General features: G+C 50.7%; 5 annotated features.

Moving 5' to 3' along the window:
* Nucleotides 3,069-4,268: an enhancer, noted in NCBI's record as "BRD4-independent group 4 enhancer chr22:45468530-45469729 (GRCh37/hg19 assembly coordinates)". NCBI's record gives its function as "activates an origin of replication core promoter dependent on BRD2, P300/CBP, MED14 and CDK7 cofactors, and independent of BRD4, by STARR-seq in HCT116 cells {active_cell/tissue: HCT116}" and the evidence as "EXISTENCE:reporter gene assay evidence [ECO:0000049][PMID:35650434]".
* Nucleotides 22,573-23,376: an enhancer, noted in NCBI's record as "NANOG-H3K27ac-H3K4me1 hESC enhancer chr22:45449422-45450225 (GRCh37/hg19 assembly coordinates)". NCBI's record gives its function as "activates a minimal SCP1, AML or CMV promoter by ChIP-STARR-seq in primed H9 embryonic stem cells {active_cell/tissue: H9 hESC(primed)}" and the evidence as "EXISTENCE:reporter gene assay evidence [ECO:0000049][PMID:30033119]".
* Nucleotides 23,377-24,181: an enhancer, noted in NCBI's record as "OCT4-NANOG-H3K27ac-H3K4me1 hESC enhancer chr22:45448617-45449421 (GRCh37/hg19 assembly coordinates)". NCBI's record gives its function as "activates a minimal SCP1, AML or CMV promoter by ChIP-STARR-seq in naive H9 embryonic stem cells {active_cell/tissue: H9 hESC(naive)}" and the evidence as "EXISTENCE:reporter gene assay evidence [ECO:0000049][PMID:30033119]".
* Nucleotides 24,182-24,985: an enhancer, noted in NCBI's record as "OCT4-NANOG-H3K27ac-H3K4me1 hESC enhancer chr22:45447813-45448616 (GRCh37/hg19 assembly coordinates)". NCBI's record gives its function as "activates a minimal SCP1, AML or CMV promoter by ChIP-STARR-seq in naive H9 embryonic stem cells {active_cell/tissue: H9 hESC(naive)}" and the evidence as "EXISTENCE:reporter gene assay evidence [ECO:0000049][PMID:30033119]".
* Nucleotides 26,784-27,357: an enhancer, noted in NCBI's record as "H3K4me1 hESC enhancer chr22:45445441-45446014 (GRCh37/hg19 assembly coordinates)". NCBI's record gives its function as "activates a minimal SCP1, AML or CMV promoter by ChIP-STARR-seq in naive H9 embryonic stem cells {active_cell/tissue: H9 hESC(naive)}" and the evidence as "EXISTENCE:reporter gene assay evidence [ECO:0000049][PMID:30033119]".

Below are 27,490 nucleotides of genomic sequence, written 5' to 3'. Positions count from 1 at the left end.
TGGGGACATGAGTATCTCTTTTCAGGGGGTTGTTGGGCTGGTGACAGAACTTATCTCACAGAACTGTCACTTCCTTTTTGGAATTTAGGGGATTCCAGCCGGGCCAGATCCCAGATCAGAGTCCAGAGCCTGCTCCGGCTCATTTCCTTGCATTGTGGGGCCCCAGGGGAGAAATCTACTGCAGCTGCTTGGTCCACGTGCGGAAGCAGCCTCGAAGCCTGCAGCATTCTTCTCTGCTGGGTTTTCTTCCCTTTGAGTTATCAACATTACAGTCTCGCAGATATAAGCTGCGGCCTGCATGGCTCTGGAATGGGCAGGGCCTGCTTGGTCTTCTGGCTCCTCCCTCCCAGGTGGAACCCCTTCCCAACCCCAGCACAGCCTGCATGCTCCCCGGCGTGAGATGGGGAGAGAATAGTTTTCTCGCAAGGTTATTGTGAGTAGAGACTGAGTCCCGCAGCGTGTGGGGCTTACACTCCTGTTAGGTGCCCCTGGCTCATCTGAAGCACTCCAGACACGTGAGCGGTCAGTCTTGGGAGCCTCCTGTGTTTTCTTTCTCTTTGGCTTTGCCAATCCAATTTGCCAAGACAATGACATATTCTGCCTCATCCTCTCAATTCCGATCCTTCCAAACTCTCTGCTTCTCCAAGCCCTCCCCATCCCAGGCCCTGACAGGCCTACAGCACCCTTCAGGGAGGCAAAGGGTACTCCCTGCATGCTCCACCTTCTGGAAGCTCTCCCTACGGCACATCAAGCCTGCAACAATGTGTGGACGGGCACCCGCCACAATGATGTAAATATTTCTCTTTAGTGAATTCATTAATTCACTCACTCACTCATTCATTCCCTTCCACCTCCCTACCCCCCACCTATAGATGACCCATGCTCAAGTGTTTAAGTCTTTCTGTTCCTGGGAAATGGGTATTGCCATTTGCACGCCCCTGTTTTTAATTTACGTTCGTGATGTGATGTTATCTATCTCATTCATTTTCTTGCTTTTTCACCAACCCTGATGTGTCTTTGCCACCCATGTTCTTACGTGTGTATCTCATTTGATTTTTTCTAGCTGCCAAACCACCCTGCAAGGTGTGCGTCCACCAAGACCCACTCTCCCAGCGCTGGGCACCCACTTCGCACTGCAGTGAGCATCGGGGACCTGTGTGAGAATGTCTGGGGCGAGATGTTGTTAGGAGAGGAACTGCTGCATCTCAGTCCTGCACTTCCTTCATCTTACTAACACACCTAGAGACCCTTCCCAAGGGCCACCCAGCCCACCCTCCCAGCAGAGTGAGGGAGGTCTCCTGTATTACATCATGTAACTGTGACATCACCGAGCTTTCAGACTTCTGCCAGCCTAAATGTGTAAAGTGAACCTTCATTGTGATTTTAATTTGATTTCTCACATTACCAGTGCTTTTGAGTGTCTTCTCTTCTGCTTGTTAATGTCTTGGATATCCTCTTCTGTAAATTCATACCCTTTGCTCTGTTTTCTTTTCATTTTTTTGAGATGGAGTCTCGCTCTGTCGTCCAGGCTGGAGTTCAGCGGCACAATCTCGGCTTACTGCAACCTCCACTTCCCAGGTTCAAGCGATTTTCCTGCCTCAGCCTCCCGAGTAGCTAGGACAACAGGCACAAGCCACCATGCCTGGCCAATTTTTGTGTTTTTAGTAGAGATGGTATTTCACCATGTTGGCCAGGCTGGTCTTGAACTCCTGACCTCAGGCGATTCATCCGCTTTGGCCTCCCAAAGTGCTGGGATTACAGGCATGAGCCACTGCGTCCAGCCCCTTTGCTCTGTTTTCTGTAGAACTGCTGTATTTTCTTATTAAGCTACACCTTTTTGAAATGGATTTAATTGTTCTTTTGACTTTGCCATTTTAAAAATATTTTAAGCCGGGCATGGTGGCTCATGCCTTTTATTCCAACACTTTGGAGGTGGAGGCAGTAGGACTGCTTGAGCCCAGGAGTTCGAGACCAGCTTGGGCAACATAAGGAGACCCCCGTCTTTAAAAATAATTTAAAAAATTAGCCAGGCATGCTGCCACACACCTGTAGTCCCAGCTGGGAGCCTGAGGCAGGAGGATCACCTGAGCCTAGGAGGTGGAGGTTGCAGTGAGATGTGATTGTGCCACTGCAGTCTAGTCTGGGTCACAGAGACCCCATCTTAAAGTAAATAAATAAAATTATTTTGTCATATATACATTGTTTCTAATCTCAAAATCATTTTATAGGCTGTTACAGCTCATAGGGCCTGTGGCACAGTGCTAGAGATATCACTAATAAAATGTATTTGACAGTTGATGTGTTTTGAACATTTATTAGTCAGATGCTCTTCTACAGACTTACATAGAAAATCAATCCTCACATCTCCATAATCATTGCCATGACTATTTCTATCACTCTTTTTCCTTCTATACTATGACTTCCACTGCCTCTGTTACTGTTATCCCCCCTGACTTTCCGACGTGGCCCTGAGGCATGGAGTGGCCAGTTCCTAGGCAAGGCCACTGAGCCTGGCAGAATAATGTCCCCTGCCCCTGCCTAGGATGTCTGCACTCTAATCCCTGAAGCCTGTGAGTGTGTCACCTGACATGGCAAAGGGACTTTGCAGACGTGATTAAGGATTTCGAGATGAGGAGAATACTCTGGATTAGCCAGGTGGACCGAATATAATTGCAAGCGTCCTTATAAGGGAAGAAAGGAGGCAGAACCATCAGAGTCAGAGGAGGAGATGTGACCGGAGAGAGAGAGAGATTAGAAGATGCTGGGCCACTGGCTTTGAAGACAGGAAGGGGCCATAAGCCAAGGAATGGGGGCGTCTCTGGAAAGGGGTCCTCCCCTAGAGCGTCCGGAAGAAACCAACGCTGTAGACACCTTTTTAGGACTTGTGACCTCCTGAAAGGTAAGAGAATTAATTTGTGTTGTTCTACACCCCCAGGTTTGTGGTCATTTGTTGCAGTGGCCACAGGAGATGAGTTAGGCCACACAACCAGGGATGTGACGGAGCTGGCGTGAAGCCCAGGGATGGCCCCAGCACAGCTCCTGCCTGCCATAGTGGCAGTGGGGAAGTGGCCCTGACCGGGCGGGAAGCTTTTCCGGGTCTTGCTCAGTAGCACGTCTCTGAGCCTTGGCCACAGGCCTGGGAGCTTCGTCTCTGTCTCCCCAGCATCTTACTGAGCAACCTGGTAAACATTCACAGTAGCAAGGTTCGATAACTTTTGCAATTCACAAAGCAGCAAATTGCATGGCTAAGGCCTCGGCTCTCAGGTCTGGCTGGGCACGTGAGCACAAGGAGTTTTTAAAAATCCAGACGCCTCGGGCTCCAGCCCTCCAGGTGTGAAGCAGGTGTCCGAAACAGGATAAAGTGGCTTCTGATGTGCGGTGTGGCTGAGAGCGGCTCACTCAGGGCGCTCACTATTTCCCGGCCTTCGCGGAAGTTTTTACCATGGAGCTCACAGCTATGATCGGCTCCATGGGAAAAGCATTTTACCAAAAATAATTCTGAGGCCACTTTTTAGTCAAAATACATCTATTCCACACACTGATGGTCTCTGCCAGGGCATGTATGGGCTCGCCCATTCATTCATTTTGTGCCTATTGTGTACCAGCCATCCAGACATCTGGCCATGGGCCAGCTGTGCAAAGCCTGCCCCCCTGGAATTTACAGTCCAGAGGGGAGACAATCCAGGAGTCACAAGAGCAATGCCAATTACAAGCTGTGCTGAGGAGACAGAGAAGCATGTGCGGTCCTATGCGGAAGTGAAACAGGGAGACCTAATTTCGATTTGGGGCTCAGGGAGAGTTTCTGGGAGTGGTGGGCATTCAGGTTGTACAGTGCCTATGACTGTGCTGGGCCCACAGTAGGACCTCAGGGGCCATTTGTGAACAAATACAGGTAATGACCAGCTGAGGCTGGAAGCGGCTCAGCCCTCAGGGCTTTGCAGCCAGAGGCCCTGGGAGTGAGCCTTTTGAATCTCATCTCAGCCTCTTACTGTGTCCCTTGCATAGTTTCTTTACCTTCCAGCCTCAGGTTTCTCACCAACAAAATGGGGATACTCACAGGACCTACCTCCCAGGGTTGCTGTAAGGATAAAAAACAAAAACAAACAAACAAAACAAAACAAAAAAAACCCATGTGTAGAATGTGAGGGCAAATGGAGAGATGAGGGCAGACTGGTGCCAAGGTAGAGGAACAGCGACTTGGACAGAAGGGACCCTGTGTGCAGAGGCCTGGGGATGGGTGTGGGGGACCCTCGGGACTTAGTGGAAAGTCTAAGCCCCTGAAACACAGCCTCACCTGCACTGGTTTCCTCTGAGTCTCCTGGCGGCCGTGGGGATGGAGGGAAGGAAGCAGGCAGATTCCAGATGCATTTAGAAGGGCAGTTACGAGATTCTGGGAGCTGCGGCGGGGGAGGAGGCGGACTCGTCAGGGATGACTCCGGTGTGAGTAATCAGGTGGGCGGTGCCCCATTTACTGAGGTGGGAAGACCAGGAGGGAAGCAGAGACGGGCAAAACACGGCAAGGTTCAGTTTGCGGCAGTTTTGGAGACAAGCGCATAGAAATAAATGAAACGACATTTGGGGCGGGGGAAGCTCTGGAATTTTCAGGATTTGTGGCTTAGGGCCTTCGGCTCCTATAAATGTGTGTACGGGGGGCGAGGGTGGGAGGGAAGGACGGGATCCCTTCCCAAAGGGTTCCCATTTATGCAAAAAAGGCTATAATTGTGTTCAGGAGAGGAGCACCTAACTAAGACTTTTTAGGGACGTCACCAGAAAAAACGAGAGCACTTGGGAGGAAATTAGGGATATTTGTGTGTTTGGAACACAGCCTATCCCTTTGGAACCCGGTGCTGAGGACAAGTGGACTGAAGAAAGGATCAGTGGAACTGTCTGGCTGGGAATGGGAACTGACTCCGCAGGAGAGGAGGCTGTGTGGTTGGTGCTTTTTGTGAAAACCACTACACCTGCAGGTGGGCTCAGTCGAGGCGCAGCCCCCCTGCCCTGCCTCCGCCCCCCACCCCACAGAGGGGTGGGTTTTCTTCTCTTGCTCCTCTTGGCCGCTTCATGGCAGCCCTGAGCAGTGCCATGCAGCCAGGAAGAGGCTTTTGCAGCTGCCACTGCCACCTGTCCCTGCGTATCTCGCCAAAGAGCACCTTCCCCAGAGGGGGACCATCGGCTCAGAGGCTGGAGGGGAGGCCCACCCAGCCACCAGGAGGCCACCAGGCACGAGGCTGGCATTCCCAACTGCCCCCAGCCCACCAGGACAAGGGAACATGAAATCTTCAGAAAGTCACCTCCCCCTCGCCTCCCCCTCTCGCCTCCCCACCCCTGCCCTGCCTCCTCTCTTGGCCCTCCCACCTTCTCCCTTGCTGCGGTCCTTTCCTTCCGGTGCCCCCTGCTCCCTCTCCTTGTTCTGCTCTCATTCGCTTCTTCTGTCCCTTTCCAGGTCCTTCTCTTCCATTCTGTGTCCCCTACCCCCTCTCTCTCCACTTCTACCTGGCCCATGCCTCCCTCATCCATGCACTCTTAGTAAATACCTAGTGTGCCAACATGCCAGGTGTCCTGCAAGGCGCCAGAGACCAGGGGCAGTGACAGCAGGCACGGTGCCTGTCCCCACAGGGCTGACAGTCTAGGAGAAGAGACAGTAATCAAACAGCAATGTCAAACGAGGGAGAACAGCAACCTGGGAGGATGCTCAGGAGGAGGTCACAGACCCGGGTTACACACAACAGGGGTCCCGACCTGGCCTGGGCATCAGGGAGGAGTTCTCTCTGGGAGCTGCTTGTGTCAGGAGGGTACAAAGAGCTTGATAAGGTGAATGGGGCCCAGGAGGTGGGAAGGCTGGTGTGCCTGAGGCTCACAGGTGAGGCCTCTTCCTAAACCAACAGAAAAGCGCTGGGCTTTGAAGGTGGTGGGAACTCCATCACAATGGCTTTTGGAGAGAGGGCTCAGGTGAGGTGGCTGTAGGGCAGCCCTCAGGTGGGAGCGAGTGGGAACGGACAGAGGTCTGGACCTGGGCCCTGCAGGTGGCTGGACCGCTGACGATGAGGTCCGAGAGGCACACAGGAGTACCATCTAAGGTGGGACTCACCCTCAGGGCCGTACAAGGGCAGGGTGCCTCCTCTAGTGCTGGCCCAGGGTGAGGGGTAGGGCAGGGGTGGGGAGAGCCTGGGGCAGGGGGGTATAAAGTGACGAGGAGGGGCAGTGAGGCAGAAGGCAGTGTCCTGGGGGCGTCTAGGCCTCTGGCCTGAGAAACTGCAGAGCGGGAAAGACTTCTGGGTGTGGGGTGCTGGTGACCTGAGGGGCTTTCAGCAGGCCCCATGGGGCAGGGGCAGTGACAGGGACCCAGAGGCCCTGGGTGTCTCCAGCCCTCTGCTGTCTCCTTTCTCTGGTCAAGTTTGCTTCTAGAAGTCCAGGTTCAGAGGGACTTTGGCCTGGGCACAGCACTGAGACCATGAGCCCTGGGGGCAGGACAGGGGCTTCCTGCCCAGGCCCTTAGTTGCTTCTCCCCACAAGCTAGGCCCCACCTGCTGGAATCTTCCCCAGGACCCTACCATTCGGCCTGCCCTAGCCAACCAGCCTCTGTGCTGGCAGGGATGGTCCAGGTAGGGCAAGCCTCAGCCCCAGCTGCTTCTGCCTCATTCTCTGCATAACACACTCCACCCGGAACCTTAGAGGGCAGAGGCCAGGGCAGAGGGGAGAGATCAGGCTGCAGGGGTTGGGGTGTGTGTTTCAAGGGAAACTTTTCTCCTGAGACAGTGATACACACTCACCTCCACCCCGCCCCATCCTCCCCACATTGCTGGTTGAGGATGACTCAGTTAATAGACTCTCTCTACCCAAAAGGTTAGCAATACCTGCCCCTCTTCACCCAGGCCTACCGCCGGCCTCCAACGCCAACTTCACATGCCCCTTTCTCATGAGCCAGTCCCTCTCTGCCTGGGAGGAGTCAATGACCAATTGTGGGGAAGATAGACACAAATGCAGGGGCCAGTCAGTATTCTCTTTTCTTTCTTTCTTTCTTTTTTTTTTTTGGTTGTGTTTTGAGATGGAGTTTTGCTCTGTTGCCCAGGCTGGAGTGCAGTGGCGCGATCTCAGCTCACTGCAATCTCCGCCTCCCAGGTTCAAGCGATTCCCCTGCCTCAGTCTCCCGAGTAGCTGGGATTACAGGTGTCCGCCACCACACCTGGCTAATTTTTTGTATTTTAGTAGATGGGGTTTCACCATGTTGGCCAGGATGGTCTCGATCTCCTGACCTCATGATCTGCCCACCTCGGCCTCCCAAAGTGCTGGGATTACAGGCATGAGTCACTGTGCCCGGCCTCATCACTATTCTAATGTGGGAGAGCAGGTGTTCCGGTGGAGGTGTCTGACTATCTGCCGTGGGCGCCCAGAGAGAGCCCCTGACTCAGCCCAGAGCAGGGAGGGTCTCCCATGGCAAACCTTTGAGCAGACTGAAAGCTGGAGTGAAGGAGAGGTATCCCAGGCAGATGAACAGATGCACTTACCATGCAAAGTGCCTGGATAGCTGAGCACAGGTCCCATACCTTTGCCAGCTCCTTTGCAGGTATTCCAGCATATTCCTGAATCATGGCTCATGGAAAGTGGGCTAATGGAATATACCACTTCTGTGTCTGGGCCTGACCCCTCTGGTGAGATCCTTTCTTCTCTCTTTCCCCTCATCTGCTGGTTGAATGTTGATGTCTGAGATGATCTTGTTAAAGGTCCGTTGTGTCCCTGAATGACTGCCTGGAGCAGAGCTCTCCTCCCCGTGCTGCTACAGATACTCCTTTATGTGAGCAGAAATGAGGTCTCAATTTCTGTTGTGTTGAGCTTCTGAGATATGGGGTCATCTGTTACAGTCATAGGCATTATCTTAACCTGGACAGTGGGGAAAAATGGAGTGTCACCTACTGTATAGCTTCAGAGGGATGAGTGGGAAGGAGTGAGGAGGAGACGAAATAAGAACAGCTATTTGAGATCAGACTGAGAAGGACCATGATTTTTAGACAGTAGATTTGGACTTCATCCAGTGTTGGGCCCTTGAAAGGTTGTAAGTTGGACAGTTATGTGATCAGGCCTGAGGTTATGAACTATAACTCTGTGATTAAATAAATTAAAACACATCCATGTATCAAAATTCTCCTCAACCATTAAAAATAACAATGTAAAACAACTGTTTTTGACCTGAAAAGATGTCTACAATCCATTATGTGGGAAAAAAATGTAGCTTGAGAAATAGTGTATATAACATGAATATGCTTTTATTTCAAAAAGATCCACCATATCTGAGGTGGATTACATAACTGGCCCAGGTCTTCATCCTTTCCTGGATCCCTGCTCCTCTCCTTGTAATCTCCAGTGCCCTCCAGCTGTGGGTGAGGTGTACTTCCTTGTCTCTTGACTTGGGTGATGTGGTTTGGCTATGTCCCCACCCAAATCTCATCTTGAATTGTAGCTCCCATAATCCCCACATGTCATGGAAGGGACCTAGTGGGAGGTAACTGAATCACGGGACTGGTTTTTTCCCCGTGCTGTTCTTGTGATTAGTGAATAAGACTCCAGAGATCTGATGGTTTTATAAAGGGCAGCTCCCCTGCACACGCCCTCTTGCCTGCTGCCGTGTAAGACATGTCTTTGCTCCTCCTTCACCTTCCACCATGATTGTGAGGCCTCCTCAGCCATGTGGAAGTATAAGTCCATTAAACCTCTTTTTCTTTATAAATTGCCCAGTCTCAGGTATTTTTTTCATAGTAGTATGAAAATGGACCAATACATGGGGTTAGCCACATTATTTACTTTATCCATAGGATGAGACAGAAGTGATGGATGTACCAGTTCTGGGAGTGGTTTCAGTTGGTCTCTTTTGCTGTTGAGAAGAAAATTCTTATGCTACCCACTGGTCTCAGGAGGTGGATGAGGGATATGCAGAATTAAGTCACCAGCCAAGACCAGCCCCAATCAGCCAACCCTAAGCCAATTCCCAAAGGAATGAGTAAGCCCAGCCAAGATCAGCAGAGGCATCCACTGAGCCCAGCCTCCGTCAGCCAAACTATGACAATCTGCAGCTCATAAAAACACATGATTGTTTGAAGCCACTAAGTTCTAGGATGGTTTGTTACATAGGTTTTTTTTTGTGGCAATTGCTAATTGGTACAATATCTATATATGAATGATTATTAAAAAGTCTGGAAGAAGTTGAATTTTGAGTAATATCGTTTCTTTTTTAGTATTATTTGAATTTATTTTAATGAGCCCATATAACTTTTATAATAATGAAAAATAAAGTAATATTTTGAAAAAGTCTGGGAATGGCCTGGAGAACAGATTAGCTGGGAAGAGACTGGAGCTAGGCAGCCCATCAGGAGGTTGGTGCACTGGTTTTTGTTTGTTTGTGGTTTTTTTGGTCTTTTTTTTTTTTGAGACAGAGTCTCACTCTGTCACCTGGGTTGGAGTGCAGTGGGATTACAGGTGTGAGTCACTGCGCCCGGCCTGTGCACTGTTTTTGTTTGTTTGTTTGTTTTGAGACAGAGTCTTGCTCTGTCACCCAAGTTGGATTGTAGTGGCAAGATCTTGGCTCACTGCAACCTCCACCTCCTGGGTTCAAGCAATTCTCTTGCCTCAGCCTCTCTAGAAGCTGGGGTTACAGATGCACGCCACCACACCTGGCTGATTTTTGTCTTTTTAGTAGAGACGGGGTTTCACCATGTTGGCCAGGCTGGTCTTGAACTCCTGACCTCAGGTGATCCGCCTGCCTTAGTTGGCCTTCCAAAGTGCTGGAATTACAGGCATGAGCCACTGCACCTGGCCTGTGCACTGTTTTTTAACGGGGCTGCTGAAGGCCTGAGCCAGAGCAGGGCTCCCGCTTCCCCACAGCATCACATGCCTGTGTTCCCTCTCCACACCCTCCTTCCCTTTAAGGAACTAGTTTCAAAGAGAGCAGTCTTGCTGAAAAGAGAAATAATAAACTGCCTCTGGAAATTGGTGACTGTAGATGGTTCCTTTTAGGAGCATCTGCATTTTAACAGGGACAGGGAGAAATTCTCCAATGATGGAAGTTTGGGAGTTGGAAAGCAGATGTATTTGGGAAAGTGCCTTCTTATGCCTTCCCAGCTCATTGCATGGGTCAAAGCCAACACCTTCCCTGCCGCCCACACATGTAGCCATAAGCTCCTGATTCTCCTCTGTAACCCTGGAACCATTAGCACCCAACACAGGGTACTCCCCTGGGGTACCAGCTAAGTGGGGAGGAGGGGGCACTGTGAGTTGGGAAGCCTGGGGGAGTGAGTGCAGGAGACACCACACCTAAGCCTTTCATGTCGGGGCTAGGGCATGAGCTGATCCAGATGGAACTTGCTGGAAGGAACCAGACTTGCTTCCTGCACTATTCCCCTTCATGGTGGCCTGTCTCCTCACCAGAGTATAATACGCTTCTCAAAAAAATGTTGGTTTTGGAGACAGGGTCTCACTCTGTCACCCAGGCCCAAATTTTTTACTGTGGTAAAAGACATATAAGATTTACCGTCTTGCACTTTGGGAGGCCGAAGCAGGCGGATCACCCGAGGTCAGCAGTTCGAGACCAGCCTGGCCAACATGGTGAAACCCCGCCTCTACTACAAATACAAAGAAATTAGCCAGGCGTTGTGGTGGGTGCCTGTAGTCTCTTCTCCTCCTCCTTCTTTTTTGAAACGGAGTTTCACTCTTGTCGCCCAGGCTGGAGTGCAGTGCATGATCTTGGCTCACTGCAAGCTCCGCCTCCCGGGTTCAAGCGATTCTCCTGCCTCAGCCTCTCAGGTAGCTGGGACCACAGGTGCTTGCCACCACACCTCCCAAACTGTTGGGATTACAGGCGTGAGCCACCATGCCTGGCCTCATCATCATCTTTCTAGAGGAAAAAGACACTCAGTGAGGCAGAGAGCATGTCTGTCCTGTTTCTCACCAATCCCCTTGGGGTCTAGAATGGCTCCCGACACACAGAAATTGCTCAATAAATGCTGGTGAGTGAGTGGATCTCGACGCCACAGGAGAGAAGACAAACCACCACAGTGCGGTGCCATCTACAAAGTCACGCCGCATCCATCCCATGGGGCACCTCAGTCCAGGGCTCTCCTTTCACGGAGCCAAGCTGCCCCTCTGAAAAAAAAGGAAAAACAGGGAGAGATACCATAAAGCAGCTTATATGCTCCTGAAACTAAAATAATATTTGTGGAAATGCTTGCTTGGTGTTGGGAAATGAAATCTGGAACTACATCCTTTATGTCATTTCTTTCATCATGATCTCTGCTGAAGACTGAAAATTTGGAATACTGGGGTTGGAAGGTACCTTAAGATTCATCTACAATGATTACCCACTGGAGGCCCGGTGCGGTGGCTCACGCCTGTAACCCCAGCACTTTGGGAGGCTGAGGCGGGCGGATCACGAGGTCAGGAGATTGAGACCATCCTGGCTAACACGAGGAAACCCTGTCTCTACTAAAAATACAAAAAAAAAATTAGCTGTGCGTGGTGGCGGGCGCCTGTAGTCCCAGCTACTCAGGAGGCTGAGGCAGGAGAATGGTGTGAACCCGGGAGGCGGAGCTTGCAGTGAGCCGAGATCACGCCACTGTACTCCAGCCTGGGTGACAGAGCGAGACTCCATCTCAATAATAATAATAACCCACTGGATGATTTAATATTTTCTTCAGCAAGTGTGCAGGGGTAACACATTAGGAATTTGTTGCTTTGAATGTGTCATTTGTGAGAGACTCGGGGTTAAGTTATATCTAAAACAAAAGCAAATGCCTTGGAGTAGGGCCCCGAGGGGCTTGCTCATGAGGCATAGGCATGAAGCTCCAGGTTTGGGTTCTCGGCATCTATTTTGAATGTTCAGGGCCCATCTTTGCTATTCTAGCATTGGGAATGTTCCAGATGGTGCAAGGAGCTAGATCATAATCTCCAAAGAGGTCAGGTGTCACGACGGGGTTGGCTCTGCCACTGAGCCTACCCTACGTGTGTCTGTCTTTAATTTAGGAGGGGCCGTATGGCCCCCTCTTCATGGGATCTGGAGGAGGGACACGTGTTTGTCACTTTCTTCTGCAGGTAGCGTCAGCACCATGAAATTGGGAACCCCCAGCCCCAGGTGGTGGGAAGGCTCGTGCTGGCTTCTGAGCTGCCCACAGTGACTAAGAATGACGCATGAAAACAGCAGCTGAAAATGTCACCACCCACCTCCCCCACTTTCCACAAAAAAAAAACAAAAACGAAACATTGGCCCAGGGCAATGCAGTCTGTGAGCCAAACGAAGCAGCAACCGTTTATTTGTGGCCAGAGACAAAGTTTCCCTTGAAATCAGTGTTGCTCATGACCATCTTTATCCACTGTCCACAGACAAATAGATTCCTGAACGGGTCTCTGTGGCTAAAGCCCATTCAGTTCTATGGAGTCAGGCCCAACCTCACACCCCAGGGGTGATGTGGCAGGAACGCTTTATGATATGCCACTTAAAACCTGTCAACCCCAGGGTCCTCATTTTTAAAGGGGAGATCCTCCCCGCCCGGGCTGCCATCCAGCATGGGCATGAAATTCTGTGCAGAGCAGTGCTGTGCATCAGTTACTCTGGACAGCATCCCTTTATCACTGTGACCTTCCGTCCTTCTCAAGGTCTCATCTGACGAGTGGGAATCGGGGCCGCTACCTCCCCAGCTCAGGGGAGCTGAGCCAGCTGTCCTTTGGTCCCTCCTCCCCGACAGGGACTCCCTGGCAATCACTGACTTTGGCATCAATCACTATCTTTATGGAAAATCAAAGGAACTCCTATCAATAAAAGTTAGGCGGGGGATGTGGAAGTATACAGCAACCTGACCAGCGTGGGCCTTCGTCATAAAGGGTCACATAAGTTATTGAAAAGTTGTAAATATATGATTCAGAGCCCGGCATCCTCAGAGTTGGAAGAAGAGGCAGAAGGCCTTTGGTCCACCCTCATATTCAGGGGTAAGGCAGGCAGAGATTATTACCTCCCAATACAGGGATGGGAAAACTGAGACCCATCCTCAAGACCACCCTGCAACCTAGTCTTCCTCCTGGAGAAGACCCAGAAGATTTGGGCTGAGCCCCCAAACACTGACCTATTTTTGTAAGACCTTTTTTTGTTGTCGTTTATTTTTAGTTAACAGGATAATTTTAAGGTCCTCATGATTAGTAGTGAGCCTGCAAAGCCAGCCCTGCTGTTAACTAGAACAATCCAACAGGAGGCAGATCTTGTCAGGGGTGGTAGGGAGACAATAAGATTCTCAATCAGACAGGAGTGGAGAGGACCTGGCAGGATGGTGGTGGAGCTGGACGTGCAGGTGAAGAGGTTTGCCGACGGCTCTGTTATTGGTGCATTGGGCTCTTGCAATCTCCCAGGATAGAAATCAAGAGAGGTGGCTGGGCATGGTGGTTCACGCCTGTAATTGTAGCATTTGGGAGGCCAAGGAAGGCAGATCATTTGAGGTCAGGAGTCCAAGACCAGCCTGACCAACATGGAGAAACCCTATCTCTACTAAAAATACAAAATTAGTGGGGCGTGGTGGCGCATGCCTGTAATCCCAGCAATTTAGGAGGCTGAGGCAGGAGAATTGCTTGAACGCGGGAGGCGGAGGTTGTGGTGAGCCTAGATCACGCCATTGCACTCCAGCCTGGGCGACAAGAGCGAAACTCCATCTCAAAAAAAAAAAAAAAAAAAAAAAGGAAATTAGCCAGCTCTGGTGGTGTGTGGCTGTAATCCCAGCTAGTAGGGAGGCTGAGGCAGGAGAATCGCTTGAACCCAGGGTGCGGAGGTTGCAGTGAGCTGAGATTGCACCACTACACTCCAGCCTGGGTGACAGAGTGAGACTCTGTCTCAAAAAATAAAATAAAATAAAATAAAATAAAATAAAATAAAATAAAATAAAATAAAATTCAAGAGAGGTCAGCAGACACAGCAGCAAAGAGAAAGAGAAAGCTCATTTAGCTTGCGCACAAGGGAGCCGGCACCATGAAAGGGAAAAGGCAGGCTGCTCTCTGAAGGTAGCGGAGTTGTGTTAGAGCATGTGTGTGTGTATGTGTGTGTGTGTGCATGACAGAGAGAAAAAGACAGGCCTTCCCCTACAATACTGTGGCCTCCACTATGTAATTGATAGAGGTATGAATTTGTTTATTTTGGATTTATTTGGCCAGTAATGGACCCAGGATCTTCTAGGTTGTTTTGACTTTCATATTGCTATGCTATGCATAACAAAACCCCCGTCTCTACAAAAATAAAAGATAAAATGAGCCAGGTGTGGTGGCCCAGGCCCATAGTCCTAGCTACTCAGGAGGCTGAGGCAGAAGCATCACTTGAGCCTGGGAGGTAGAGTCTACAGTGAGCCATGATCACACTACTGTACTCCAGAGCCTGTTTCTAACAGCAACAACAAAATCAAGGAATAAAGAATCTAAATCCTTGGGGGTCATCTCACCCAAGGCCTCCCCTTGAGGTCCCGGCCCATGGCCACCCACCTAAGTGCCTGTCCTCAGCCCTCCTGGCTCTTCCCTCTCCCCTCCCCTCCCCTCCTGTGGGATCCCTGGGCAGTCTGGTTGAGCGCTGAGAAAGCTTCCGTCGGTGCAGCTCAGACCCCCTCAGTCACTCGCATGAGACCCTTCTGAGCTCCCTGTGCCTGGCTCCCCAGCCCCAGCCCCACAGCCAGCCAGCTCTGCTCTGCCCCACTCCCCGGTGCTGTCTCGAGAGCACCTCACACTGTGGCCCCACACTGTCTCCACTGTGGCCCGCTTGTCCATGGTGGGAATAAGCCGCGGCGTTCTCTGTTTCCTCCACTTGTCCTCCTCTGCCCTCCCTCCAGCACCCTCCATCCCACGGCGTTTGCCTCACTGGTGTTCTCTCCATCATCCATTTCTCTCCAAGCCTGGAGACCCCCAGTCATGGTCTCCAAGCTCATCTCAAATCCCCACCTTCACGGAACATTCCCTGGCCACCCACCCTCCCCACCAGGCAAGGATCCTTGGTTCTTCCTCTGGGCCACCACAGGATTCCCCAGCTCCGGGTCAGGGGCTGTCTTCTCGGGGAATCCCTGGGTGTCTAGCACAGGGCCTGGCCCCCCTACAAGTACAGGGCAAACATGTTTTAAATGAATGGGTTGGGTCAGTGGATGATAGGATCTGTTTCTTCTGATGCTTCGTGAAAGCCCTTTGGGGCCATTGAATTTTCCTACATTATCATTTCTTTGTCAAGGTAATTAGGGAAGATATTATTTTTCCATTTTACAGGTGAGATAAGTGATCCCACCACAAAGCTGGCTCCTGTACATGCCTCTCTGGTCCTGCTTCTGGCTGACGGGCTGGAACCACACCTGCCTGGCCTGTGGGAGGCAGTGGAGGAGCCCCGGAGGCCAGGGGGGCTCTGAGGTATGGCTGCTGACTGTGTGGGGGAGGGGTGGTAGCGCTGGAGCCAAGGCACTGGCGGAGGGGTCAACATGATGGGACGGATGTAGATGAGGACGCTAGACTCTCAGGGTCTTGGGGAGCAGCTGGCTGTGGGAGGGGAGGGGTTACTCCTTCTTGGGTCTTCGACTAGGACAACCCAGCGAGTGGTGGAGTGGGCCATTCTTGGATGCTGGACTTTTTTGGTATGAATGAGTTTGATCTGGAGGTCTAGATTTTGAGAGTCTTAGAGCGCTTTGATTATGGATTTCCCGTTGACAATTGGTACAGCGTTGAGGGCTTCGAAATTTACACTCCCGAGGGTCTGTTGGTATTAGATTCACAGAACCATGGGATTACAGAAATTTATACCCAACAGGTCATGCAATTTTATCACAATTAAAAAAAGATCTAAATATACTCAAAACCACATGGATGAATCTTCTAGAGGTTATGCTGAGCTGAAGAAGCCAGACCCAAAAACCCATATGGTATTATTCCATTGACGTGAGGTTCCCGGGTCAGGGAATGCTGACTTATGGGGAGCAAAATCAGAAAAGTACTGCAAACAATTATTTTTCTAAATTAAAATAAAAATATAGGCCGGGAACATTGGCTCATGCCTGTAATCCCAGCACTTTGGGAGGCCGAGGCAGGTGGATCACTTGAGGTCTGGAGTTCAAGACCAGCCAGGCCAACATGGTGAAACCCCATCTCTACTAAAAATACAAAAATTCGCCAGGTGTTGTGGTGTGCACCTGCAATCTCAGCTACTTGGGAGGCTGAGGCAGGAGAATTGCTTGAACCCGGGAGGCGGAGGTTGCAGTGAGCCGAGATCGTGCCACTGCACTCCAGCCTGGGCGACAGAGCGAGAGAGACTCTGTCTCAACAAATAAAAAAAACAAAAACAAAATTCAGGGGCCTTTAGTTTCTGGGAGCAGCCTCTGGCAGATACCAGCAAGGAGCCGAGGGCCTCAGGCCTATAATTGCTGGGAGCTAAATCTCCCCACACCTAACTGGGCCTGGACGGGGACCTCGAGCTCCAGAGGAGACTACAGGGCCCCCATGACACCCGGCGACTCCTGAGCAGAGGCCCTGCTAAGCTGTGCTGGAGTCCACACCCACAGAAACTGTGAGACCATTGATGGGCGTGATTTGAAGCTGCTAAGTGTGCTACGTCGTGATTTCTTACACAAGAACAGAAAGTGAATACGGGTATATTACTGTTTCATAAAAGAAGGACTTGACGTCCGTTGCATGTACACACATTGAAGCGCTCTGGGAGGACTCAGGGAAAGTCGGAACTGTGGCTGCCTACGGGTGGAGCAGGGCTTCACCCTCTCAGCCCTCATTTGCTCTTCTGTTTTTAAAGAATGTAAATGTCAACACCTGTTCAAAAGTGAATAAACTGACGATTGTGGCTGCTAATAGTTTTTGAGCTCTTCTTAAGTGTCAGGTGCCATTTTAGGCACAGCATAGGAAATAACTTTTTTTTTTTTTTTTTTTTTTTTTTGAGACAGAGTCTTGCTCTATTGCCCAGGCTGGAGTGCAGTGGCATGATCTTGGCTCACTACAACCTCCGCCTCTGGGCTTCAAGCAATTCTCCTGCCTCAGCCTCCCGAGTAGTTGGGATTACAGGTGCACACCACCATGCCCAGCTAATTTTTGTATTTTTAGTAAAGATGGGGTTTCGCCATGTTGGCCAGGCTGGTCTCGAACTCCTGACCTCAGGTCATCCACCTGCCTCTGCCTCCCAAAGTGCTGGGATGACAGCACTTTGAAGTACATTGAATACTTCCCACAATGCTGTAAGGCAGGTGCAGGGAAACTGAGGCCCGTGCAAGGGTGTGATGCACCCTGGCTCTCAGAGAAAGCCTTAGAGCTGGGATTCGGGCCATTGGGCTTCAGGTCTGCAACCATCTCCTCTGCCCTATCCCTTTAGTTCCCATATCTCTGGGCAGGGAAGTTGCGGCGGAGCCGGGACAGCAGCTGTTGGTGGAGCAAGAATACAGCAGCTGCCAGATGCTGGAAGAAGGCAAGGCTCAGAAGACCATGGGCACTGGCAGAGTCCCATGAGAGCCTTAGAGATTCCAGACTGGGGAGCCTGCAGCTGCCTTTCAACCACCAGAGCTAGAGAGGAGGTTCCCCATCCCCTGATTCTCCCCTGCCTTGATTTTTTTTTTTTTTTTGACAGAATTTTCACTCTTATCGCCCAGGCTAGAGTGCAGTGGCGTGATCTCGGCTCACTGCAACTTCCCCTCTTGTGTTCAAGCGATTCTCCCTCAGCCTCCTGAGTAGCTGGGATTACAGGTGCGCACCACCATGCCAGGCTAATTTTTGTATTTTTAGTAGAGACAGGGTTTCGCCAAGTTGGCCAGCCTGGTCTCGAACTCCTGACCTCAGGTGATCAGCCTGCCTCGGCCTCCCAAAGTGCTGGGATTACAGGCGTGAGCCACCGCACCTGGCCTCTTGCTTGATCTTTAGAATGTGTGCCTCTGTCTCTTTCGTCATTATCATTTCTTTCATTTCATTATTGTCCCCTGCATTCGCTTCTGAATCTCCTGTGTTAAAACTTCCAGAAGAGAAAAATCTCTTTTGATTTTAGAAAACATTTGTTCTTTAAAAAAGGACTTTACGTCATTCCATTCATATGAAGAAAGAGACATTTCTAACCTTGTTATTTTACGTATATGAGTTAGTTTTCATCAGCAGATTCTTTGTCTGTTTGTCATTATATTATTTTTCAAGGCCCATATGCAAGAATTGTTTCATAGACACCATTTCTGATCTCAGTGTGTTTTTCACTGGTTAATAAAAACCACAGCTTATAACTCAGTCATATAAATATGACACTTCCCTCAGCTTCCAGCATGACACAATGATAAATTCAGCAAGTTTACGTCTGCCTTCATTTTCCCCTTTTATTTCTTTGCCTGAATTTCCCTGGGGCCAGCCCTCCAAATAATTTCTTTAGGAGATAAGGAGAATTGTGTTTCTGCCAGTTTGATTTCCGTGGCAGTATGCAGCTGCAGAAGGTTTCTGCTGTTTTATGTGTCCTGTAACCGTGAAGCACTATTCTTGAGTGGCCCCCACCAATACCATGTGGTTTCCATTACGCTTTTCTTCTCCCCCTCTTCCCCCCTCTCCCCTTCCCAGTGAAGCATCTTGAATAATGACAAAAAGGGCAGAAAAGCAGAGGGCTTGAGGGGTTGGAGACTCCAAAGTTGGACTCCTGGGTTTGTCACTCACTCATTAGCTGTGTGGCCCTGGGTAGCTGCTGAACCCCTTCGGTGCTTGGATTCTGCACCTCGTGTGGCTCATCTCTCCATCTGTGTAGTGTTATGGGGACATGGAAAGTGTTTTTTTTTTTTTTTTTTTTTTTTTGAGACGGAGTCTCTCTCGGTCGCCCAGACTGGAGCGCAGTGGCGTGATCTCAGCTCACTGCAAACTCTGCCTCCCGGGTTCACGCCATTCTCTTGCCTCAGTCTTGTGAGTAGCTGGGACTACAGGCGCCCGCCACCACACCCAGCTATTTTTTTGTATTTTTAGTAGAGGCGGGGTTTCACCGTGTTATCCAGGATGGTCTCAATCTCCTGACCTCATGATCCGCCCGCCTTGGCCTCCCAAAGTGCTGGGGTTACAGGCGTGAGCCACCGCACCCAGCCGGAAAGTCTTTACATAAGATGGTTGCTATCAAACATGATTAGTTAGTGCTTAGCAGGTGCCACAGAGGCTGGACGTTGGGGGAGCCTCCTCGCACCCTCTCGTTGGATTGCTGGGGTGTCCACCGGGTGACTGTGAGATGTCTCCATGACAGCGAATAGGTGGCTATGGCCAGGCACACGCAGGCCCCAAGGCTAAGTCCTAGTAGATTCTGATAGCCTGGAATCATTCATAGTTTTGCTTTTTTTTTTTTTTTTTTGAGACAGGGTCTCACTCTGTCACCCAGGCTGGAGGGCAGTGGTGCGATCAAAGTTCATTGCAGCCTCAACCTCCTGGGCTCAAGTGATCCTCCTGCCTCAGCCTCCCAAGTAGCTGGGACTACACGTGTGTGCCACCACACCTGGCTAATTTTTTATTATTTTGCAGAGATGGGATTTTGCCATGTCGCCCAGGCCCGGGCTGGTCTTGAACTCCTGGACCCAAGCAATCTGCCCGCCTCGGCCTTCCAAAAGTGCTGAGATTACAGGCGTGAGCCACTGTGCCCAGCATGTTTTTTGTTTGTTTGTTTGTTTTGAGACGGAGTCTCGCTGTCGCCCAGGCTGGAGTGCAGGGGCGTGATCTTGGCTCACTGCAGGCTCCGCTCCCTGGGGTTCACGCCATTCTCCTGCCTCAGCCTCCCACGTAGCTGGGACTACAGGCGCCCACCACCATGCCTGGCTAATTTTTTGTATTTTTAGTAGAGGCAGGGTTTCACCGTGTTAGCCAGGATGGTCTCGATCTCCTGACCTCGTGATCCACCCGCCTCGGCCTCCCAAAGTGCTGGGATTACAGGCATGAGCCACCGCGCCTGGCCTTTTTTTTTTTTTTTTTAAATATTTGTGCATCTACCAATGGCTATGATTTGCTGAAAGGAATCTCAGGTGTTCAATTATTTGATGGCTGGGATGACTGACTGCAAAGGGGACCATCAAAGGGCCGCAAAGACAACATTGCTGGTCCTGACACACCTCGGCTAAGTGTTTAAGATGCAGTGGAAACCTCAGGACTGGATGAGAAAAGTTCACCTGTGTAACGTGCAGGTGCACACGACTGTGCTCACCTGTGTGGATGTGTGTGTGCCCAGCATGCAGAGGTGCCGGGTTCAAGTCAATACGTGGATTAAGCCAGGCTCTTGGCTGGGTGACGACTTTGTATGTTGTTACATTTGTAGGATGCTGGTGTGGTGGCCCTCCTGGCTCACATGCTTATGGTGGTCCCCTGAGGGTGAGTCCCCTGAGGCCCGGTGAGCGTGTTCTGAGACCTGCCTCCCTGGCCATGGCTGGGTGGTCCTCGTGGTGGGCATCCACCCATGTGACTTCACTTCTCTCCAGGTCTGTGAGGATCAACAATGTGTAGTTACTGGTCACCATTGTCCTTTTCCTTCCCAATTCCTGGGAGGATACAGGAGCATGTTACTGAGCAAGTGAGGTGTGACTTGGGCCAGACAGGGCAGATGGCGGTTGGATTGGCAGGAGAAGGGAAGAGGAGTGAGCACTGGTGGGGTGTTCGGGAAGAGGTTGGGAGGCCTGGTGAGTTAGGCAGGAGGGGGACATTGGGGAAAGCTGGGGGCGTGGTAAGGAGCCAGGAGCTTGGAGAGGTGCTGGAAGCTCAGCTCAGGGCCCAAACGGGTGGGCTCAGCCTGGGGTGGCTGAGATCTCCTTTCGAGGCCAGCAGCGTCTCAGTCCTCGTTGGACTGAGGCCTTTGCAGCTCCAGCAACTTCGGGGCATGGACGATGACAGGGTTTGTATTCCAAAGAGGATCCGGACATCCTCCCACTTCTTCGTGCATCCGCAAAGCCCCGTCAGCTGTCTTCTCCTTGCCTTTTACATTGAACTCGCAACGTCCTTTACCCTCCCTTCGCTCCTCTGTCGGGAACTGGCAAAGCAGAGACCCTGGGGTGTTTTTATTTTTCCTGCAAGCTGGGAGGACTAATCTGTGCTATGTACTTTAGTGCACGATCTTCATAAAACCCAGAACTGTGTTATTTAAACCAGTTTCATTTCCTTTTAAACATGTCAAAGTCGCTGGTCTTAACTCAAGGACTCCAGCATCTAAGGTTTGATGTGGCAAAAGGGCGGTAGGGGAGAGAGGAGAAGCAAATGCCGTTTGGAGAGACTGCGGCACAAAGGAGATGCTAGCATGGGGGGTGGGGGGCTTGGGGGAGGTTTAGGGTTCCAGTCAGGTTGCCAAAACGTTTCTGATTTTCCTCTTAGAACCCTTTGACAACACCCTCCCGGAGCACAGCAGCACGGTGAGCTGTGCAGACTCCAAAGTTCCCTGGGATTTGCTCAGGAAGCCCCCACTCCCGCTCAGTAAATGTGACCTGGGTTGTGGTAATACTCACTGCATGAGGGTCCAGGTTAGAGTCTTGGGTCATCACAACCAGGTGTATAGAGTGATCTGGACTTGTTGAATCAGAATCCCTAGATTTGGAATGCAGAGACATCGTGGCTCTTTTCTGCTTAAGAACATGTTCCTGACCATTCAGGTCCAGCAGAGGAATGTGATCATGATTCGCTGCAGCCTCAGTCTCCCCGGTGTTGCCCAAATGTTCTTCCTATCTCGGACTCCCGAGTACCTGGGACTATTTGGACCTTCTTCCTCTGTTTTTTTTTTTGTTTGTTTTGTTTTTTTTTTTTTTGAGACGGAGTCTCACTCTGTCTCCCAGGATGGAGTGCAGTGGCGCGATCTTGGCTCACTGCAAGCTCCGCCTCCTGGGTTCACGCCATTCTCCTCCCTCAGCCTCCCGAGTAGCTGGGACTACAGGCACCCACCACCACGCCCGGCTAATTTTTTGTATTTTTATTAGAGACGGGGTTTCACCGTGTTAGCCAGGATGGTCTCGATTTCCTGACCTCATGATCCACCTGCCTCAGCCTCCCAAAGTGCTGGGATTACAGGCGTGAGCCACCGCGCCCGGCTTCCTCTGTTTTTTTTTTTTTCTAAGCCCAATTTCTGTTTGTTTCCACAGTACTAAGAGTAATTTGCTGCTGTTTTTCTTTATTCCTTTCTCTGTTCTCCTAATGCTCCTTCCTTCACACTGAAGTTGACCTTTTGGTTAATTTTTTGCCACGGTCCAGCCTGCGTGTGACGAACGGAAAAAGCAAGAGAAAGAGAGAGAGAAAGAAAGAAAGATCTTAATTTTGATATTAATTACCTTTAACCTGTTCACTCCCACTTATTTATGTATTGGTCTTTAATATTGTTTATTATATATGTAAAAAAAGAACCAGCTCCTTAGCGGAGCGCTTCTGTGTGGGAAGTCGTGGGACAGCTACTGTTCTGGGCTCTCCTCTCCCAGCTTCACTCTGTGCCCCCTTCTCTGTCTGGATGTGTCGTGTGTGTATGCCTGGCCTACAGCAGCTTCCAGCACTCCTAGGATGACCCAGGCAGCTCCTTTCCCTCCAGCCCCTCCCACCCCCTCCCAGTCCGCTGTCCCAAACGTGTTATAATGAAATACCTGAGACTGGGTAATTTATAAAGAAAAAGAGATTTATTGGACTCACAGTTCCACATGGCTGGGGAGGCCTCACAATCATGGCAGAAGGCAAAGGAGGAGCAAAGGCATATCTTACATGGTGGCAGGCAAGAGAATGTGTGCAGGGGAACTGCCCTTTATAAAACCATCAGATCTCATGAGACTTATTCACTATCATGAGAACAGCATTGGAAAACCTGCCCCCATGATTTAATTACCTCCCATTGGGTCCCTCCCATGACCTGTGGGAGCTATAATTCAAGATGAGATACGGGTGGGGACACAGCCAAACCATATCACAGCCCAACTTCTGGGTCTGTATGTCCTTTTGCTCAGAACTCCTCTTCCCTTGTATTTCAAATCTCAATCTCCCCTGAGGAGACCCAGATGATGTCAGGGGCCCTCAATATAGTCCCACAGTGCTAAGGACCTCTCCTTGGTGACATTTGTAAAGGCTGTATTTAAAAGCATGCATTTTCTTGAGTCCCTTCTATTCAGCCAAGGTGTCCTTTGCCTCAGGGGCAATTAGCATTGCTTCAGGAGGAACATCAAGAGAAAAGACTTGGGGCTTGGTTTTTGCATGCAAAGTAGGATTTGTTAGGCCTAGGGCAGAGTTGCTCAGCCTGGACACTGTGGACATTTGAGGTAAGATCCTGTAGGGCATCAGCAGCATCCTTGGCCTCTACCCACATTCAGATAGAGGGGCCACTCCTCGGCCTCCAAGTCCAGATGATTAAAAATGTCTCCAGACACCACCCAATGCCCCCTGGCAGGCAGAATCATCCCAGCTGAGAGCCCCTGATCTGGAGTAAGAACATAGTCTTGAAAGCCAACTTTTTATTTTTATGTTTTGGGCAAGAGAAGGATCTTCTAAAGCTCCCCTTTGTGAAAGGAAAATAAAAACTCAGGACCCCAATTCACTTGGCCAAAAGAAAGAAATTAGGCTGCAAGCTGAGTCATGCAAGAAGCTACCTTTCCTTTTGTTCCTAAGCAGAGAGCTACAGAGAAAAGGTTAAGTATCTCTCCAGGTAGCTAATCCAGTGTTCACCTTATCTTATGTAAAGTGCTGATTTACTGAGTGCCAGGCGAATACATGATTGACTACTCCCCTACCTGCTGCTTTTCCCTTGTAACATGTGGATTCAGTAACTACACCCTCCCTCTTTCTCCTCCAGTTCACTTTTCCCCTTTAAATATGGAAGCCCTCAAAATCATCTTTGGAGAAAGGCACAGACTTCTCTCTGGGGCATGTCCTTAATCTTGGCAAAATAAATTTCTAAATTAATTGAGACCCGTCTCAGATACTTTCTGGTTTACACCTTTATATGCCAAGAATACAGCCTCAGGAGGTCTTGAAGACATGTGCCCAAGGTGGTCAGAGGACAGTTTGGTTTTATACATTCTAGGGAGACAGAAGACATCAATCAACACGTGTGAGAGGAACATTGGTTCAGTCTGGAAAGGCAGGACAACTCGATGCAATGGTGGGAGGGAAGCAGGGAGGGGCTTAGGTAGATAAGAGACAAAAGGTTGCATTCTTTTGAGTTTCTGATGAGCCTCTCCAAAGGAGGCAATCAGATATGCATTTATCTCAGTGAGCAGAGGGGTGACTTTGAATAGAATGGGAGGCAGGTTGACCCTAAGCAGTTCCCAGCTCAACTTTTCCCTTTAGCTTAGTGATCTGGGGCCCCGAGATTTATTTTCCTTTCACAAGCCTGATGGACTGGGCCATGCCGCTTTTCAAGAAGCCATTGGAAGCAAGTATAGAAGCTTCGTCTTCTGTCGGAGAGAAGGGAGGCAGAAGTGTTCTGCCACAGCAGGGAGAGATGAGGGATGAGGCCAGGGTGGTGAGGATGGAATGAGGGTCCCTGAGAAGGGACCCAGCAATGCAGTCCCCTCCCTGGGAGGCCTGGAGGGCACCCCGAAGAGATGGACCTGTGAGTTGCTGCTTGAAGAGGGACCCGCAGCTGACCAAACAGAACAGAAAGACCGAAGAGTATTAGAGGCAGAGAGTGGAATGAACAGAGGCCACAACACAAGGAATCATTGTCCTATTTTCAGAGATCTCTGAGTTAGAGCCTGGGTCTTGGGGGAGGTGACAGAGAGCTGGGGCGGGCCTTACGGGGGGTGGAATCCCACACCCGTCATCCATGCCCGATGCGGCAGGCCCTGTGCCCAGGGCTCGGGTCCTAGGCTGGTCTCTGCTCCGTGCCGCTTCTGTTCTTAAGGGTGGAAAGAAGATGTGAGTGGATAAGCTTGGATGTGCTGCGGGCTCTAAGGTGATGGCCAAAGGACACACAGAGCTCTCCTGCAGGAGGAAAGGCAGAGCCTGGCTTGCAGAAGTGCAGGGTGACCTCCTGAGGAGGTTGAAGGAGGCTGGGCAAGTGCTCAGAAATCTGAAGGTGGTCCCATGAGAAATGGGGTGGACTGACGTGGGAGCCATGACTGCTGCCCAGGGCTTTGCTGTAGACAACCAGATAGAGGACAGGGGAGGGGCTGCTTGGGGGAGAGGGAGTGGGGACTTTTATTTGAACCTGAGATGCCCACTGAGAGTCCAGAGAGGTGACAAGAAGGAGCTGATGGCCACGCACAGTACTCAGGGAGAGATGCGGCTGAAGGGCATTTAGCCCAGGTGAGTCACGTGCTGGGGTGGCCAACCAGAGAGCAGAGGCTCAGGATGGGCAGAGGGGCCACCTGGCCATGGAGCCTGGGAAGGAGGGTGGGGAACAGTGGGAGCCGGGGGCCACGGGAAGAAGGGGGCAGTCCAGGAGTTGAGTGTTGCTGAGGACAGATGGGGACCACGAACATGGTGGCCCTGAGGTTGCGGTGGGACAGTGATGGCCAAAGCCAGGAGGGATGGGTTGGAGTGGGACGGGAGCAGGGGTGGAAAGAGCCAGCACCTGGGCCCCTCTTTATGGGGTGCATTGAAAGCCTTACATTGGGAGAGTAATGACTTACACTGAACTTCTGGAGTGGGCGCCCTGGTAAGAAGTGGAGGGCGTAGGATCCTGAGCGAGGTGGGTGGTGCGTGACCAGAGCCTCGGGAGGTGCCCCATGAAGAGGCCTCAGTCAGGGCTCATAGGGGTGCTTGGCCTCCGCTTACTTACTCTCTCAGCTGCATTCCATGGGGGACACCACCTCCTCACCAAAACACCCTCTTCCAGCACATTCTGTGAGGCCACAGTGCCTGGATTTTCCATGGTACATTCTTGGGCAGGAAGTCTTGGGGTGGGGGGCACAAGTAGAACAAGAGAATGACAATCACGATGAATTATGTGGGCACATGGCACCTTTACGTCCATTATTCTCTTTAACGGGTAGATGGTGCAAATACACTTGTCATCCCTGTTTTACAGGTGAAGAAACTGAGTCACAGAGAAGTTGAGGGACTTTCCCAAAGACACATAGCAGGTGATGGCAGAGGCTTGACTGGAACACAGAGGGGTCCTCTGAGTTCGGGATACTCCTCAGCTGAACTCCTGTGTGAAAGCGCAGGGGCTGCTCTGAATAGGGGAAGGGGACAGAAGCCTCCCTCAAGAACAGGCTTCCATCAGCTCACGGTCGGAGCTGTACCATGTTGAGCAAACCACCTTCTGTTCCAGCAGCTCAATGTGCAATGAACTTTCATTCCACTGCAGCCCAGGCTCAGGGCACAAAGCCACTGTCTCAGGGTGCCAGTTGGCGGGAACATAGGGCTTGTAAACTGTGCACTTCACAGAGAATCTGATGGCTTCTGAAACACACTGATGTCCCAAGTAGAGGCAGCACTGTGCGTTGTGACATGGGAGGAGGCTGTGACACTCACTCACCCCTGGACAGAGCAGTGTTTTTCCATGTGGTCCTCCCCCATGGATAGTCTCTCCTTTATCCTAACGTGCAGGAATCCTCTAAGCTATTGTTTTCCCCTTTGCAATGGACCCCAGCTCCTGCAAATCCAGGAACTAGTTTTTTTCTAGGTGGACAGAGAAAAATGGCACCTAATTAAGATTAGACGTGCTTTTGCCATTCTTTGAAACTTATTCCCCTCTGCAAGTTAATAATCTCTATTGAACACACTTTTCAGGGTGAATAATTCACTCTGGGGGACAGTGGCAGTGTGAACTGTCCCTGATTTACCTTACATGGCTTGGAACTTTGAAAATATCTCCCTTTAACTGTGGAGTTGAAATAGCTCAGAATTCCTATAATAATTGTAATTACAGCTGCTGTTTAGTTAGTCCCAGTGATGTACTAGATACTTCACATCCATGTTCTCAGCTTCCCAGAAAACCCCTGCAAGCTGGGAATTATCGTCCCCACTAGAAAGAGAGAGGGAGAGAGAGATGTATATCTCAGAGAGGTTAAATAACTGACTTAAAGTCACATAGCTGATCAGATCTGACGTAAGATTGGAACCAGATCTGCCTGCCCATGGTTCCTTCATTGCCCATGCTACTCTGACTCAAGGAAGGACCTTAACCTTAATCTTGTCCCCCGCTGCAGGCTCTGCAGGTGAAGACACTCATCCTCAGAGGGGAGGCTGTGGGAGAGTTAAGGATAGCTGAGGAGTTCTCAGAAGCGGGGCAGTGGCTCAGTTTCCTCCTGTGCGGAATGGCAGGTGGAGGAGTGAGGGGTGATGGCAAGTTGGGGACAGGCTAGACCCAGGCGGCCCAGAGATCCATGTAAGGGGCACCGGGGAAAGGCAACGTGCCTGGAGTGGGACAGACTGTTGTCTAGCTCAGCGCAGCAGAAAGAGCAGGATGGCCGGGTGTCGGCCACAGACCTGCATCACACATCCCCTTCAGCTACCTGCTGGTGCCACTAGCCTGGATGTAACGCTTCTTCACAGCTCTTCCACCAGGGCATCCACGGCAGGCTCAGCTCCTCCTGCTGGGTTTTCCAGGTCTCTGTGTTCTGTA

The sequence above is a fragment of the Homo sapiens genome, chromosome 22 (genome assembly GCF_000001405.40).
Source record: "Homo sapiens chromosome 22, GRCh38.p14 Primary Assembly".
NCBI lineage: Eukaryota > Metazoa > Chordata > Mammalia > Primates > Hominidae > Homo > Homo sapiens.
The sequence above is the reverse complement of the archived record's forward strand: the minus strand, read 5'-3'. Positions and strand labels throughout refer to the sequence as shown.